This window comes from Homo sapiens, chromosome 3 (genome assembly GCF_000001405.40).
Source record: "Homo sapiens chromosome 3, GRCh38.p14 Primary Assembly".
NCBI classification, from domain to species: Eukaryota; Metazoa; Chordata; class Mammalia; order Primates; family Hominidae; genus Homo; species Homo sapiens.
The window spans coordinates 47,268,569-47,286,091 of record NC_000003.12 but is presented as its reverse complement, the minus strand read 5'-3'; the positions used below and the strand labels follow the sequence as shown (position 1 = coordinate 47,286,091).

Here is a 17,523-nt window from a genome sequence, read left to right as displayed (position 1 = left end):
TCGGGCTGACCGTCTCAGTTGAAACTACGTCTGATTCTTTTTTTTTTTTTTTGAGACAGGGTCTTACTCTGTTGCCCAGGCTGGAGTGCAGTGGCACGATCTCGGCTCACTGCAGCCTCTGCCTCCCAGGCTCAAGTGATCCTCCCACCTCAGCCTCCTGAGCAGCTAAGAAAGACTAAAGGTACACACCACTACAGCTAATTTTTTGTAGAGATGGGGTTTCACCACGTTGCCCAAGCTGGTCTCAAACTCCTGAGTTCAATGCAATCCACCTGCCTCGGCCTCCCAAAGTGCTGGGATTACAGGCGTGAGCCACTGCACCCAGCCATGTCTGATAATTTACTTGTCCCTTTGAATGAACAAGCAATATTCTGCTAAAAGATTACCATATTCAGTATCTGCATTAAATGTACTATTAATACTTTATGTAGAAGTATCTGTGACCATCCCACGCTGCCACGCCCTTTTTGATTCCCTGTGTCTTGTAAGATTCCCCTGGTTCACCCTTACAGCCTAAATCTTTTTTTTTTTTTCCCCAATAGAGACGGGGTTTTGCCATGTTGCCCAGGCTGGTCTCAAACTCCTGGGTTCAAGCGATCCACTCGCCTTGGCCTTCCAAAGTGCTGGGATAATAGGCGTGAGCCACGGTGCCCAGCCTACAGCCTAAATTTTAATCTAGAAATTCACACCTATTACTGCTTTTCACTAGTCTCTATTTACACCAAGTGTTGCTGCCAAAACCGGATCATTTTTCTGCTTACAAGTTTCTAGTGGCCTTAACATCTTCTACCATGTAATCACTGTGGACAAAAACTTCTAATTTACTTTTACTTCCTCTGCTTCCTTTAGTCTAGCTCATTTTTTCTCAATTCTCTTGGTTCCTCTTTCCCATATGAGAAGATCTCACGCCTTCTCAGATCACTTCACTCCTCTCCTGGAAAAACAACCTCCTTCAGGAGGGGTTTAGAATGATGAAAAGGGCCGGGCTTGGTGGCTCACGCCTGTAATCCCAGCACTTTGGGAGGCTGAGGTGGGCGGATCACGAGGTCAGGAGCAGTCTGGCTAACGTAGTGAAACCCTGTCTCTACTAAAAACACACACAAAAATTAGCCGGGCGTGGTGGCGGGCGCCTGTAGTCCCAGCTACTTGGGAGGCTAAGGCAGGAGACTGGCTTGAAGCCAGGAGGTGGAGGTTGCAGTGAGCCAAGATCATGCCACTGCACTCCAGCCTGTGCCACACAGCGAGACTCTGTCTCAAAAAAATAAAAATAAAAGCAAAAAAACCGAGGCTTACAGAGATTAAGTAACTTGCTCAAGGTTACAACTAGGATTTTAATCCAAATCCTTCTGCTTTCAAAGCCATACTCAACCATCCTACTCTACCATCTCCAGAGGTCTGACTCAACTATGTTGCAGAAGAAAAGTTTCCTTAACCATGTAGAAAATAAGAAGAGCAGGCTGGGCGCGGTGACTCACGCGTGTAATTCTAGCACTTTGGGAGGCCGAGACAGGCAGACTGCTGAAGCTCAGGAGTTCGAGACCAGCCTGAGCAACATGGTGAAACCCTGTCTCTACTAAAAATAGAAAAAATTAGCCAGGGGTAGTGGTGCGCGCCTGTAGTCCCAGCTGCTGGGGAGGCTGAGGCAGGAGAATCGCTTGAACCCAGGAGAGAGAGTTTCAGTGAGCCAAGATAGCGCCACTGCACTCCAGCCTGGGCAACAGAACGAGACTCCGTCTCAAAAAAAAAAAAAAAAAGAAAAAAGAAAAGAAGAGCAAAAGAATCTCTGCATAGTTTTATTTTTTCTTTTATTTATTTATTTGTGTGTGTGTGTGTGTGTGAGAGAGACAGAGAGAAATAGGAGAAATAGGATCTTGCTGTGTTGCCCAGGCTGGAGTGCAGTGGTGTGATTACAACTCACTGCAGGCTTGACCTCCTAGGCTCAAGCGATCCTCCCACCTCACCCTCCTGAGTAGCTGGGACTACGGGCACAGGCTACCATGCCCAGACAATTTTTTATTATTTGTAGAGACAGGGTCTCCCTACATAGCCCAGGCTGGTCTCCAATTCCCCCACTCAAGTGATCCTCTCGCCTCTCAAAGTGCTGGGATTACAGGTGTGAGCCACCATGCCTGCCCTGTTTGTTTTTTAAACAGGGATCACGCACAGATGCTGAGAGCTTTCCAGCTAAAGCCCAACAGGGAGCCCCACTGATCATCTCCCCAACCGGACGTCTCCACATGGTTCGGTGGCTTGGCCAGGCAGCAGCACAGCATGCCTCTTCCTCATGAAAAGACCCAGGCACAGGAGGGAGGCTGGCTCTAGCGACCAGAATGCTGGTGGGGAACAGGTGGTTAAGATATCTTTCCCTCTTAATATCAGTCAGCATCCCTCTCCCCACGCGGCCAGCAGGCCCAGCCCCGGGGACCTTTGTGGTGGTGAGTGGTGCCTTCCAGTATGGGGCAGGGTGGCTTCCCACCTCAAAAATTTTCCAGAGAAGATTTTAAAAGCTCTTAAGAGACAAAGTAGTAATTCAACAATTAAGGGCAATGATTCCTAAGGAGAAGCCTTCTCTTCTAGAACAGCACAGCCAAGTTCGACAGGCACAAAGAAATATCTGTAGTGACAAGAGAAGGTTCTTCAGTGGTGCCCATCAGCATGTGGAGCCGGCCACCGCCCCTGCCTCCATAGAAGGTAAGTCCATTTTCTCTTGTCTGCATGACAGAAAAAGGAGGCTGTCACCCGTGTCTCCCACTCCAAGGGCCTAAGCGGCGCACCTCTCAACCTTTCCTTTCAAGGGCTGAAAGGTTGTCCTCTTCCTCTCCCCACTCGGCCCCGATCCCCTTTTGCTCGGCACCTCTCTCCCCACTACTCGGCCCCCCTCACACCTCTTCTCCCCACCCCTCTCCCTGCTAGACCTCTCTTTCTCTGTCCCCCGCCCCTTTTTACTCCCCGCTCGACCCCTTTTCCCTCAGCCCGCTGCCGCCCAGTCCGCGGTACCTTGAGGGTCACGTCGCACAGCTTGCCCTGCCGCCGGATCTCCTCCATGACGCCGTAGCCGCGACTAGGCAACTCAGACACGGAGAAGTGCACCAGATCCTCCAGCTCCTCCGCGCCGTCCTCCACCATCTTCCCCGGCCGCTGCAACTGCGCAGGCCTCGCCGGCCGGCTAGACACTAACCAGGGCGGGGCGATAGCGCACGCCGACAGCCGCTCGGAGCGCGGAGCAGCAATCGGACGGGCCTCCGCGGCCGCCGTAGTTGAATCTCCTCGGCGCCGGAAGCCCCGCCACTCCGCTTCCTGGTTCATGTGCGGCCTTCGTTCCCTCGCTATCTCGACCTTGACTTCGCATGTGCATCCGCCGAAGTCTTTCTAGATCAATCGGCCCCATCTCTCGTCTTCCCGATTCGGCCATGACCTCACCCGTATCCTCGACGTAGGACCTCGGACTTCATTTCCGCCACCCCGACACTTCCGGAATCCCCGGAAGCGACCCGTTGCCATGGCGACTATGTACACAGCCAGGCAGCCCCGCGTGGGGAGTGCAGGTGGTTTCGGTTGCGGCAGTCGCGTCCCGGGAGCGTCGCTGCCTGGTGAACGGTGAGCAGGGGCTGCTCGCCGGTGGGAGTGGGGAGACGGGAAAAGGGTGTGCGCCCGGACTGCTGAAAGTGGCTGGGGTCCAAAAACCGCTTTATCTGGGGGTTCCCAGCTGGGTCGCTCATCTCTGAAACCCAGGCGAAGGAGGGCTCGACGTCGCGGGAGTCCTTTCAACCTGACCGCGGCTTACGGTCTTCGGAGCTAATGTTCATTGGTCCCACAAAGGGGTCCCACGTCGCGTCCAGGACATAGAGGCCGTGAGGCAGGGAGCCAGAGGTCGTCTGGACTCTTCCGTACTAGTCAGTTTTCGAACTAGAGGGGGCTTTGGGATCACCAGTCGGAGCCCTTCGTGTTACAGGTGAGGAAACCTCTCCAGAGAGGGACCGGAATGGGTCCAAAGCCCACTGCCGCCCAGGCTCCACGCGGGGGTCCGGCACATTGGGTGAGAAAAAGGAGAAAGTCTAGTTTTGCCTGCATCCTAGTCTTGTTCAGCCAAGGCCAGGTGCAGTTGGACCCAGTGTTTTGGATTCGGGTGTTGGTGCTGCCGCTACGGGTAGCTATGAGGGTTCCCCATGACAGCCCCTCATCTGGACGGGAGCACTGGAAGATAGGGACCCACCTGGTGCCTTCCACCCCACCAAACGCTCCCTTTCCTCTTGTCTAGTCTTCATGGCTGCTTGTTGCCAATTCTGTTCATTCCCACTAAAGACAAATGAGGAAACCTCGAGCGCCTTAACACAGAAGTCTCCTGGTGGCCATTCAGAGACTTGCTTTGTTATACCAGAAATATCAAAGGGTGGTTCCCCAAGGAGAGACATTCCCCACAAGGTCCTGAGGGAGAAAGGGAGGGGGCCGGGCGCCGTGGCTCACGCCTGTAATCCTAGCACTTTGGGAGGCTGAGGTGAGCGGATTGCTTGAGCTCAGGAGTTCAAGACCAGCCTGGGCAACATGGCGAAACCCTGTCTCTACGAAAAATACAAAAATTACCCGGGCGTGGTGGTGCACGCCTGTAGTCCTAGCTACTTGCGGGGCTGAGGTGGGAGGATCGCTTGAACCCAGGATGTGGAGGCTACGGTGAACCGAGATTGTTTCACTGCACTCCAGCCTAGGTGACAGAGTGAGACCCTGTCACAAAAACAAATAAACAAAAAACAAAAACAAAAACAAAAAAAGCGTGTGGTGAGGTGCTGGATGTGGATTTTTGCACCTGGAAACCAAGTGTCCTCCTGGAAGGGCTGTGGGCTTTGGTTGGAGTTGTCATGGAAGGGGAGTGACATCATATGCCCCTTGGGACTCTCTCAGTAGTGACTGAAGATAGACCCACATATGAAGATTCAGCTGCCCTCTGACTTCCAGCCATTACCATCACCAACCACCGCCATTTCCTGAATACCTACTCTGTGCTGGGCTCTGCCCTGGACATTGTGAGGGGATTCAAAAGAGATAAAAAGCACAATCCTTGCCTTCAAGCAGCTTGTAATTTAATTTTGGGAACTGAAACCCACTCAAATGAAGCGACGTAAGAATGGTAACAAGCAGTATTTCAGTAAGTGCAAGATGGCATGGGGTCCCTAAATGTTTGGGTGTTAAAGGGCTGCTGAGTAGCAGGCTCACAAGACGGGTGTGCAAAGGAAGACTTTATTGCAGGTGGATATGGCTCCTGGCCTGCTTGGAGCCATGGTGTCAGCATGGGAGGGCCTTGGGAAGCATACATGGGGTGACTGCGTGTGCATGTGCATGTTGGCAAATAGCAGGGCAGAGAAGGGCCAGGCTCTGGAGGGAGAGTGATGCTTTTGCTTATTTGTTTTGTTTTGTTGAGACAGTCTCACGCTGTTGTCCAGGCTGGAGAGCAGTGGTGTGCCATCACTGCTCAAGTGATCCTCCTGCCTCAGCCTCCTGGGAAATTGGGACCACACGCGTGCACCACCACACTTGGCAAATTTTTAAAATTTTTTGTAGAGACAAGGTCTTGCTGTGTTACCCAAGCTGGTTCCTAATTCCTGGCCTCAAGCGATCCTCCCACATTGGCCTCCCAAAGGCTGGGATTACAGGCGTGAGCCACCATGCCCAGCTGAGGTTGATGCTCTGAACTGGCCTGTGCTACTCTTGTGCAGGGGCTTCAGGGAGAGAGGCCTGGGCACCTGCTCCCAGAGCTCCCCTGCTTCTTCATGGTCCCTTTCGGAGCATACCCTGGATGGCATCTGAATTTCCCTGGGCAGGAGAATGGGCCCTTGGATGTGAAGAGTGGTTCCCCGGTTCCCCAAGCTTTAGAAATTGAGTGTGAGGCTGAGGTGGGTGGATTGCTTGAACCCAGGAGTTTGAGACCAGCCTGGGCAACATGTTGAAACCCCATCTCTACAAAATTGCAAAACGTTAGCCGGGTGTGGTGACACACACCTGTCCTACCACTACTCTGGAGGTTGAGGTTGAGGTGGGAGGATTGCTTGAGCCTGGGAGACAGGCTGCAGTGAGCTGAAATCACACCAGTGCACTCCACCCTGAGAGAGAGATCGAGACTCTGTCTGAAATAAATGTCTCAAAAATAATAAATAAATAAAATCTGGAATAACTTTTGTCAGGTAACACCCATTGGACCTCTCTTAGATAATTTTATATAAAATGATCCGCTGAGGTGGGCAGATCACGAGGTCAGGAGATCGAGACCATCCTGGCTAACACGGTGAAACCCCATCTCTACTAAAAATACAGAAAAATTAGCGGGGCTTGGTGGCGGGCGCCTGTAGTCCCAGCTACTCGGGAGGCTGAGGCAGGAGAATGGCGTGAACCTGGGGGGCGGAGCTTGCAGTGAGCTGAGATGGCGCCACTGCGCTCCAACCTGGGTGATAGAGCGAGACTCTGCCTCAAAAAAAAAAAATAAAATAAAATAAAATATTACCATTATTTAATGTACTTTTTAAAAAAGCAAGATAATCTAATTAAAAGTAGTCCCTGTTATACATGAGGGGTTTTTATGGTTAACATCTTAAAAGTTACTTAGATTTTTTGATTTTTTTTTTTTTTTGAGACTGAGCTTGCTCTGTCACCCAGGCTGGAGTGCAGTGGCATGACATTGGCTCACTGCAACCTCCACCCTCCAGATTCAAGCAATTCTCCTGTCTCAGCCTCCTGAGTAGCTGAGATTACAGGCGCTTGCCACTACACCCAGCTAATGTTTGTATTTTTTTTTAGTGGAAACAGGGTTTCGTCATGTTGGCCAGGCTGGTCTTGAACTCCTAACCTCAGGTAATCTGCCATCCTCAGCCTCCCAAAGTGCTGGGATTACAGGCAAGAGCCAACGCACTTGGCCCACGTTAGTTTTTTTTTTTTTTTTTTTTTTGAGATATGGTCTCACTCTGTCACCTAGGCTGGAGTGCAGTGGTATGATCAAAGCTAACTGCAGCCTCAGCTTCCCCAGGCTCAAGTGATTCTCCCACCTCAGCCTCCTGAGTAGCTGGGACTATAGGCATGCACCACCATGCTTGGTAATTTATTTATTTTATTTATTTATTCATTTATTTATTTTTTGGAGATGGAGTCCCTCTCTGTCGCCCAGGCTGAAGTGCAATGGCGCGATCTCAGCTCACTGCACCCTCCACGTCCCAGATTCAAGCGATTCTCCTGCCTCAGCCTTCTGAGTAGCTGGGATTACAGGCGTCTGCCACCACAACTAGCTAATTTTTGTATTTTTAGTAGAGATGGCATTTCACCATGTTGGCCAGGCTGGTCTTGAACTCCTGACCTCAGGTAATCCACCTGCCTCGGCCTCCCAAAGTGCTGGGATTACAGGCCTGAGCCACCGCACCTGGCTGCCTGGCTAATTTTTGTATTCTTTATAGAGATGGGTTTTCGCCATGTTGCCCAGGCTGGTTTCAAACTCCTGGCCTCAAGGGATCTGCCCACCTCGGCCTCCCAAAGTGCTAAGATTATGGTATGAGCCATTGCACCCAGCCAAAAGTTAGTTTTTTTTTAAAGCCAAGCCATGCGCCTGTAGTCTTAGCTACTTGGAAGGTTGAGATGGGAGAATCACTTGAGCTCAGAAGTTAAAGGCTAGCCTAGACAACATAAAGAAACCCTTGTCTCCAAAAATAAAACAATGAAATAAATGTTAATTTTTTAAAAAATATTGAACATCGGCTGGGTATGCCTGTAATCCCAGCACTTTGGAAGTCTAAGATAGGAGGATCACTTGAGGCTAGGAGTTCAAGACCAGCCTAGGCAACATAGTAAGACGCCATCTCTGCAAAAAAAATGTAAGAAAACTAGCCGGGCACAGTGGTACGCACCTGTAGTCCCAGCTACTGGGGAGGCTGAGGCAGGAGGATCACTTAAGCCTGGGAGGTCAAGGCTGCATTGAGCCATGATAGCACCACTGCACTCCAACCTGGGTGACAGGGTGAGACTCTGTCTCAAAAAAAAAAAATGTATGTATATATGTCCTATGTCTTCCTTTATTTATACTACTATATATATGTATATGCACACGCATACACACACACACACACACTGAAAGAAAATGATGAGAATATAGTTAGGTTTTAGGAGAGCAAGAGGAGGTAGGGGACTGTCTGTGATATTTTTTCTCAATATAGTAAGAGAAGAAAGAATATTTATTATGGACCAAATATACGTCTGGGTCATCTATTTCTGATCTAGTTAGTCTACTGGAGAAGAGGATGCTGTATCTGAAGCAAGATAAGTTAATGAAAAGAAAATTAGTTTTAATGTATTTCATAGTAAGTATTTTAGAAGAAAATATAATAAATGAAGGAAAGCATAAGTGGACTCATCATCTTAGTTGCAGAACATTTCTAGAAATGACATCTAAGATTAGGCCACTAAAGGAAGCATTCTTTTCACTTTGTATTTCAGTCTCTCTGGGGTCATTGGTGGAAAATGGCAAAGCAGTCTGTGAAGCAGAAAGTGCGTGTATTTGTTGAGCAGTGTCTTGTGGGTAGAACACTGAAATGCTGAGGGGTGAAAAGGAAAACTGGCTTTCAGGGAGAGAGGGAAAAATGGACTGCTCGTCACTCTTTTCTGATCTTCTTAATGAATGACCCCTCTCCTCTACTTGTTATTTGATAATGACTACTCAAAATTTCATTGTTCCCTTCTTTTTAGCTAGAATGGGTACTAGGAAAAAAGTTCATGCATTTGTCCGTGTCAAACCCACCGATGACTTTGCTCATGAAATGATCAGATACGGAGATGACAAAAGAGTAAGTGCGATGTGTTTGCCTTCAACTGACTGGGCCTCTCTGTCCCACCTTGCTATAGTGTGACCGTATTTCCAAGCAACCTTTGAAGGACCAAGACAGAATTGGACAGGATCCAATGGACTCTAGAGCCCATCAAATCCAAACCACCCCCTCACACACTGCTAATGAAGAAATTAATAAAATCCCATCGTTAATTGTCTTTTAATAATTTTACCTTTAATAAATTAATAAGTTTACCTTTACCCTCGTATCTGACACAGAAGAATTGACATTTGTTCACATTCATAAAGCTTTCTAATGATTGATCTGTCATTGTATAATCGCCCATGGGGTGCAGTAAGAATATCTTGAGTTCATTACTGTTTAGCTTATCAAAACAGCTGGAGAAATACTTATCAAGAGAAGTGGAAAGATATATCCGTCCCTATATCCTCACCCTGAGAATGCTTCTGAAGGCTTAGGACAGTGTAAGAGTGTTAGATATTTTCATTCAGCAAACAATTATGGGCCTACTCTGGGCAGCATTGAGACATTCTTCAAAGGAAAAATTCAAGGGCAAACTGCCCAAGCCTCGCAGGTCCTAGCGGTCAGAAAAGAGCTCACATGCAGCCCTATCAAATGTGTCCTGCTGGACATGGTTTTCAGCGAACACAGAAGCACAGAGCATTTAATGTGTGAGTGGACCAAGTCTTTCTTTCTTTCTTTTCTTTTTTTTTTTTTTTTTTTGAGACAGAGTCCCACTCTGTTGCCCAGGCTGGAGTACAGTGGCACAATCTTGGCTCACTGCAACCTCCGCCTCCCAGGTTCAAGCGATCGTCCTGCCTCAGCCCTGCTAGTAGCTGGGATTACAGGCACGTGCCACCATGCCTGGCTAATTTTTGTATTTTTAGTAGAGACGGGGTTTTGCCATGTTGGCCAGGCTGGTCTGGAACTCCTGACCTCAGGTGATCTACCTGCCACGGCCTCCCAAAGTGCTGGGATTACAGGCGTGAGCCACCATGCCCGGCCAAGTCTGTCTTTCTTCATCTTAATTTTTCTCTCTGTAGCCAGGTATAGCTCCTGCATTAGGGCAGTCAGTGTAAGATTTCAGCAAGAGTCTTTACATCAGAAGTTCTCATCAAGAAGATTGGAATCTACCACTGACCTTACCCAGTATGTCCCTAAGCCAGCTGCTACTACAATGGCTTACTATGAAGGGGCATGCATCTAAAAATCTGCTGATGACACCCTCAATTTACTCTTAATTCCTATGTCTGAGAAGTCCATAGCCTTCTCTGTGGCTTTCATTTCATCATCACTCACTTTGGCTCATAGCGTGTGTGTGGAAGTAGATGTTCACCATAATGCAGAGCTGAGGGAGGCCTCACTGCCAGCAACCAGAGCAATGAGGCTGGAGCCCAGGCCTCTGTTACCAGGCTCACTATTCCCTCTGGCATAATTCAAGGCCTCCCTATGCTTATGGAATCTATCTAAAACTTGTTTAATAAGAACATGATAAATTTGACCTCATATCATAGGTGGGGAAACAAAGACAGCACCGTGTGAACTAGGGTTAGAGGTGCTAAAACTAGAAAGTGCTCCACTCTCCTGATCTTTCCATCTCCCTGCAGGAACTCTCTTCTCCCATCCCAAAGAATTCATCTGGAATATCAGCCCCTACGTGGGAGTCCCCATTCATCCTACAGTTCATTTCCTCTGTTCCCTCCAGATTAGGCCTCAGCTATCAGTGATTTTTTTTATACCCATTTTTGAACAAATAACATTTTTTTCTTTCTCACTCTTTTTTCCTAGAGCATTGATATTCACTTAAAAAAAGACATTCGGAGAGGAGTTGTCAATAACCAACAGACAGACTGGTCGTTTAAGTTGGATGGAGTTCTTCACGATGCCTCCCAGGACTTGGTTTATGAGACAGTTGCAAAGGATGTGGTTTCTCAGGCCCTCGATGGCTATAATGGTAACTTAATTAATTAAATGTTGTCTTATGTAAGAACCTGAGGAGTAAGAGATGCAAATATTTTATGGTGAATAAAATAAAAGCTCACTCACTATCATTTGTATGTTTGTCTGTCTCCATGTTCTTACGTTGCAAAACTTACTGTTTGCTTGTTGACATTGTGGGCATGGCTTGATCCAATGTCCTGGGATTCTACCTTCATAGGAAAATTAAAAGACTATGGCTCTCTATAGGTCACAGGGGTTCAATTATCCTGTTTCAAATCTCTCAAGTATTAGTTTTGAAGATACGTCTTTATGACAAATTTGATGGAGTCCAAACATTTGTCTCTCAGCTTCCTGCTAGGAGCTATTTTCATGTATTCTACCAACACAATCAATGTACAGTTGATATTCTAGTATAGGATTGTATAAAAGAATATGTCACAGTTTGTAGACTTTGCCATCTGGTGGCTGCTGACTAGGATGTTCCCTGTTTTGCAAGTTTAGGTTTTATATTTAAAAGTGCATTGAGTGTAGATGCTGTAATTTATCCTGAATGTGATACGTAGGTGTGGTCCCCACTGACTTAAGGAGGTTCTCTTTTGGTTTTCATGATGCTCTGATTGTGACCTTGAGGAGGTGAAGACAGAGGAACTAAGGCCCAGGGAGATGAATAGTCTTGAGCACTGGTGCTGTGGAACCACAAATGGGCTCTGATTTGCAGCTGAAGTGACTCCTTCCTGTTCATTTGTGTTGGGTTAATAGACACCATTTCTGGCTCCAACTCAGATGCTGAATCAGGATCGCTTGTGTAAAACCTGCCACCAGTCCCAAGAACTAGAGTGTCTGTGTGACAAAGGCAAAAAATTTTCACAGCCCAGCATTGCCTGGGCAGATCTGCCATGTAAATGCCCATGGGCAGCCTGTGGGATGGGGTCTGGCTCAGGCTGCCCATGCTAAGGGGAAGAACAGATAGGAGCCGGAGCTCAGGGTGACTGCATGGTTTGTGTCCCGGAGCCTGGTGGTGATGGTAGACCTAAAGGATGTTGAGAAGTGCAATGAAAGTCTTCCCAGGGTGGGCAGTGGACCAGATCAGGGCCTGATCATGGTGGTACATTTCTGGAAGTGACATGGAACCAACTAGGAGCCCTGTTTCATCCTGCAGGAATTTGTAGTCTACAAAGAATTCTCACCCTTGACAGAAAATGCCCTTTCCACTCCATCTCTTCCTGGAGATTTTGAAAGCCCCTCTTTGCCTCTGTGGGGAAGTTGATGCCTCCTGCCAACCCTGAGACCCTGGCAGTTCATAGCTGTGCTAGAGAAGGGCTGGAGTCTAATGCTCCTATCTCCCTCCTCATCTTTTTAGGAAAAGTTCCAGTTCCTCTGTACCCTGAGATTCCCTGTCCTTCTCAGAAGCCCTAGGGCCGGATCATCTCTTGGTGGAGGGAACAGCAGAGCATTGTGGGGACCACAGATTCAGGGCAGATGTCCTTGTTTTGACCACTTTTGTCCCTGTTCCCCTGCCCACCCATCCTCTTCCATGGTGGAATTCCTGATGTTCTTGGCTGCCCCCACTGGCCATCTTCATGCAAAGGGCCCTGGCTGGCACCAGGCATGCTGGGAGAGGGGAGAGTTATCCTTGGAGCTATTTTCCTGGATGTCACCGTGTTTTGAAATGTTTGCAGGCACCATCATGTGTTATGGGCAGACGGGAGCTGGCAAGACATACACCATGATGGGGGCAACTGAGAATTACAAGCACCGGGGGATCCTCCCTCGTGCCCTGCAGCAGGTAGAGAGTGGGCCCAAGGGTGGGATGCCACACAGGTTCCCTCTCTCTGCCATAGATGTTACTGACCCTGGGCCAGCTACTAGAGACAGTGGGGACCAGGCCTCAAAGGAGTTGCAGTGGATACTGGTACTGGAGACAACATACACAGGGCTCTGGAGTCAGTAGAGTCAGGGGCCTCAGGAAACCAGGAGGTTGGGTGTCAGACTCTGAGCCATACCCACACTGAGCCTGTTTCCTCATTTGGGAAGGAGGGAGTCAGGCATGCTAATCAGCCTCTTGCTGCTCCAGTGGTCTGTGATCCTGTAATTAAGGATTTGGAGGTCCTAATCATTCTCTTTCCTGGTTTTAATGAGGGGCATATAGACCCTTGCAGAACTTCCTTACTGGCCTACTCTGGCTTTTTTCACCACCACAGCCCCTGAAAGATCAAAAGCAAGAAGGAGGGCATGACTTGAGCTTTCAGGACTGTGTCAGCCCGGGGGGTCTCAATAGCATAACTGAAGATAAGACAGAAGGGCCTTCCTTTGGGCCCCACTAGCCTGGGTTCTGTAAGGACCCTCTGGTCGGAGGTAGGAGGCAAAAGCTGCCAAGAGGCAGCTTTACAGCCCTGTCCTATAAGAAGTGTTATAGGACAGGATTTTTTGCAGCCCTGTCCTATAAGAAGTGTATACATTCCTCTAGTATGTGAACCATCCATGCTCCTGTTTTTGGAGCAATACCCTTAATATCCCACTGTCAAAGCTTCAGTATCTCAGCATCTTAGACTTTAGTAATCTAGCCCAGTGCCACTAATAGAAATATACTGTAAGTCACATGCAAATTTGAGTTTTCCAGTAACCACATTTTAAAAAGTAAAAATAAACAGATGAAATTAATTTTAATGATATATTTTATTTAACTAAATATATTTAAAATATTTCCGCATGTAATCAATATAAACTTATTGAGATAGTTTACATTCTTTTTCTCATACTAAGTCTTTGAAATCCAGTACATATTTTATACTTGGGGCACATTTCAGTTTAGGCATAAATATTATCAGAAATGCTTGATCTGTATTTAGATTTCATAAAATGTTGAAAAAGTAGATTTACATACCCAAGTTGTTCCAGACATACTTAAAGTTTACCAATAACTGAATTGCATCAGTTTTTAAATCTAACTGTAATTAAAATTACATAAAATTTAAAATTCAGTTCATTTGTACTAGCCACATTTTAGATACTCAGCAGCCATCTGTAACTTGTGTCTACTATTTTGAACAAAACCGGTCTAAATTCTTAGAGGAAGGCAGGACCTCAGGAATTATCCCTTCCTTGATAAGCACTGGGGAGGGAATTAGGAGTTGAGAAGGCTGAGTTCTGGCTTTACTTCTACCCTTACTAGCTGAGTGACCAATAGACAAATTATTTATTTATTTATTTATTTATTTTTTAGATGGAGTCTCACTGTCACCCAGGCTGGAGTGCAGTGGCGTGATCTCATCTCACTGCAAGCTCTGCGTCCTGGGTTCAAGAGATTCTCCTGCCTCAGCCTCCCGAGTCGCTGGGACTACAGGCGCACGCCACCACGCCCAGCTAATTTGTGTAATTTTAGTAGAGACAGGGTTTCACCATGTTGGCCAGGATGGTCTCGATCTCCTGACCTCATGATCTGCCCACCTCCGCCTTCCAAAGTGCTGGGCTCACAGGTGTGAGCCACCACACCCGGCTGACAAATAATTTTATTTTGTAGTGCCTTCCACAAATACGTATTGCTCCTGCACTGCCTCATTCACAGAGATTTATATGTGGATGGAATTAAATAGATTTGAAAGAGGCATATAAATGATGAGACTCTAAAATAAGAAATCCTCACTCCAGAGTCCTTTCCACTCATTATGCCTCTACTTCGTGAGATGGTTTAAGTGTTAGCCAATCTGATGTCAAGCCTCAAAACACTACAAGATGATACTAAATATCACCCAATTCCTTTAGGACAATAATTATTCTATACATCTTGATGTTCCCTTCTGAGTTAGGAAGCCCCCCTTATGCTAGTTGGCTGTTGGGGTTCTGCTCTTGGTGACCGCTGTACAATCTGTCATCTAGGTTTTTAGGATGATCGAAGAACGCCCCACACATGCCATCACTGTGCGTGTTTCCTACTTGGAAATCTATAATGAGAGCCTGTTTGATCTCCTGTCCACTCTGCCCTATGTTGGACCCTCAGTCACACCAATGACCATCGTGGAAAACCCTCAAGGAGTCTTCATTAAGGGCTTGTCAGTTCACCTCACAAGTCAGGAGGAGGATGCATTCAGCCTCCTTTTTGAGGTGAGATAATAAAACCTGAGGGTTCCTTTCCTTCTCTCCCTCCCTGCCACCCTCCTTCTCAGCTTTTCTTTTTCTTTTTCTTTTTCTTTTTTTGAGACAGGATCTTGGTTTTTCTCCAAGTCTGGAGTATACTGGCATGAACATGGCTCACTGCAGCCTCGACCTCCTGGGCTCAAGTGATCCTCCTGCCTCAGCCTCCCAAGTAGCTGGGACCACAGGAGCATGCTACCATGCCCACTTAATTTTTTTTTTTTTTTTTTTGTAGAGACAAGGTCTGGCCATGTTGCCCAGGCTGGTCTTGAACTCTTGGGCTCAAGCGATCTTCCCACTTCGGCCTCTCAAAGTGCAGGGATTACAGGCAAGCTACTGTGTCCAGCTAGTTTTTTACTTACTTTGATTATCAGAATGGAAATTAATATATGCACATTTAGCAAGTTCAGATAGTGCTGAAAAAAAAAAGGAACAAAAAAGAATTTTATTTCCTCTTCCTTTCCTGTTACGTAAATAAAAAGAAAAAATGATTCATGCATAATCTGTTTTTTACATAAGGCAACAATAATGTATATTTTAGCTCATTTCCTTCCAGTCTTTTTTCCTGTGCAGCTTTTTCTTTACATAGTTGAAATGATTCTTATGTCCCTTTTTTCAGTTAAATTATGAGCTCTTGTATGGAAAAAAATAAGGCCGGGTGCAGTGGGTGATGCCTGTAATCCTAGCACTTTGGGAGGCTGAGGTGGGTGGATCACCTGAGATCAGGAGTTTGAGACCAGCCTGGCCAACATAGTGAAACCCCATCTCTACTAAAAATACAAAAAATAAGCTGGGTGTGGTGGCGGGTGCCTGTAATCCCAGCTACTAGGGAGGCTGAGGCAGGAGAATCACTTGAACCCGGGAGGCACTGGTTGCAGTGAGCCAAGATCGTACCATTGCACTCCAACCTGGGCAACAAGAGCAAAACTCCTTCTCAAAAAAAAAAAAGAAAAGAAAAAGAGAAAAATAAGAATTAGCATCCTTACTATACAAAAGCTCTTAGAGCCAGGTGCGGTGGCTCATGCCTGTAATCCCAGCACTTTGAGAGGCTGAGGTGGGTGGATCACCTGAGGTCAGGAGTTCGAGACCAGCTTAGCCAACATGGTGAAACCTCATCTCCACTAACAATACAAAAATTAGGCTGGGCACGGTGGCTCATGCCTGTAATCCCAACACTTTGGGAGGCGGAGGCAGGCGGATCACAAGATCAGGAGATTGAGACCATCCTGGCCAACATGGTGAAACCCCGTCTCTACTACAAATACAAAAATTAGCTGGATGTGGTGGCGCTAACTCCCAACTACTCAGGAGGCTTAGGCAGGAGAATAGCTTGAACCCGGGAGGCAGAGGTTGCAGTGAGCTGAGATTGTGCCACTGCACTCCAGCCTGGCGACAGAGGGAGACTCCATCTCAAAAAAAAAAAAAAAAAAAAAAAAAATTAGCTGGGAGTGGTGGTGGGCACCTGTAATCCCAGCTACTCGGGGGGCTGAGGCAGGAGAATTGCTTGAACCCAGGAGGCAGAGGCTGCAGTGAGCTGAGATTAAGCCATTGCACTCCAGCCTGGGCAATAGAGTAAGACTCCATCTCAAAAAAATAAAATAAAGGCTCTTAGAAACCAGTCAAATGCACTGGCACAGTGGCTCACGCCTGTAATTCCAGCACTTTGGGAGGCCAAGGCGGGTGGATCACTTGAGCTCATGAGTTCAAGACCAGCCTGGGCAACACAGTGAAACCCCACCTCTACCAAAAATACAAAAATTAGCCAGGCATGGGGGCGCATGCCTGTGGTCCCAGCTGCTTGGGAAGCTGAGGTGGGAGAATCACTTGAGCCCAGCAGGTAGAGGTTTCAGTAAGCTGAGATCATGCCACTGCACTCCAACCTGGGTAATAGAGCAACACTCTGTCTCAAAAACAAGAAAAGAAATCAGTCAAGTGTATGTTATTCTTTTAGAAGTCATATAGGCTAGGAACTCTTTATTTTTTTATGCAAGTTCTCGCTGTGTTGCCCAGGCAATGGGCACATGTGCAATGGCTATTCACAGGCATGATCATAGTGCCTTCTCACAACATAGCAACTTACTTCCTCAACGTCAATAGCAGGATCTTTTTTAAAGGGCCAGAAAGACAAGGCAAGGCCAGGCGCGGTGTCTCACACCTGTAATCCCAGAGCTTTGGGAGGCCGGGGCAGGCGGATCACTGGAAGTCAGGAGTTCGAGACCAGCCTGGCCAACATGGTGAAACCCCCTCTCTATTAAAAATACAAAAAAAGAAAGACAAGGCAAGAGGGTACTTCAGAAGGGGGACTGAAGAGTAAAGGTGAATGACCTGCTGTGGTGGCTCATGCCTGTAATCCCAGCACTTTGGGAGGCTAAGGCAGGAGGATTGCTTGAGCTCAGGAGTTTAAGACCAGTCTGAGCAACATGGCGAAACCCTGTCTCTACAAAAAAATATAAAAAATTAGCCTGGCATGGTGGCCTGTACCTGTGATTTTAGCTACCTGGGAGGCTGAGGTAGGAGGATCACTTGAGCCCGGGAGGCAGAAGTTGCAGTGAGCCAACATCACGCCACTGCACTTCAGCCTGGGCAACAGAGTGAGAATGATCTCAAAAAAAAAAAAAAAAAGAAGAAGAAAAATGAA

The 17,523-nt window shown here is 47.3% G+C and overlaps 2 protein-coding genes across 22 annotated transcripts in view, besides 2 other annotated features; one reads left to right on the top strand and one right to left on the bottom strand.

Moving 5' to 3' along the window:
• KLHL18 (kelch like family member 18) overlaps window positions 1-3,148 on the bottom strand; it is a 63,873-nt gene extending 60,725 nt beyond the window's left edge. For all 5 annotated transcript variants that reach the window (XM_005265001.4, XM_005265002.6, XM_005265003.4 and 2 more), the window contains exon 1: window positions 2,998-3,148. In XM_005265001.4, the coding sequence (XP_005265058.2) occupies window positions 2,998-3,126 (129 nt within the window). In that variant the 5' untranslated portion in view covers window positions 3,127-3,148. The remainder of the gene's footprint in view (window positions 1-2,997) is intronic.
• Window positions 2,770-3,969: an enhancer, noted in NCBI's record as "CDK7 strongly-dependent group 2 enhancer chr3:47323613-47324812 (GRCh37/hg19 assembly coordinates)". NCBI's record gives its function as "activates an origin of replication core promoter dependent on BRD2, BRD4, P300/CBP, MED14 and CDK7 cofactors, with strong dependence on CDK7, by STARR-seq in HCT116 cells {active_cell/tissue: HCT116}" and the evidence as "EXISTENCE:reporter gene assay evidence [ECO:0000049][PMID:35650434]".
• Window positions 3,165-3,554: an enhancer, noted in NCBI's record as "active region_19811". NCBI's record gives its function as "activates an Ori minimal core promoter by ATAC-STARR-seq in GM12878 lymphoblastoid cells {active_cell/tissue: GM12878}" and the evidence as "EXISTENCE:reporter gene assay evidence [ECO:0000049][PMID:35858748]".
• The window catches only part of KIF9 (kinesin family member 9), a 54,802-nt gene continuing 40,571 nt past the window's right edge, over window positions 3,293-17,523 (top strand). For 3 of the 17 annotated variants that reach the window (XM_005265389.5, NM_001413976.1, XM_047448710.1), the window contains exons 1-5: window positions 3,293-3,597; window positions 8,717-8,810; window positions 10,602-10,767; window positions 12,434-12,540; window positions 14,631-14,855. In XM_005265389.5, the coding sequence (XP_005265446.1) occupies window positions 3,500-3,597; window positions 8,717-8,810; window positions 10,602-10,767; window positions 12,434-12,540; window positions 14,631-14,855 (690 nt within the window). In that variant the 5' untranslated portion in view covers window positions 3,293-3,499. Of the gene's footprint in view, window positions 3,953-4,896; window positions 5,141-8,712; window positions 8,811-10,601; window positions 10,865-12,433; window positions 12,541-14,630; window positions 14,856-17,523 lie in introns of those variants that run through there. The other 14 variants (NM_022342.6, NM_182902.4, XM_047448712.1 and 11 more) reach the window with 10 other exon arrangements.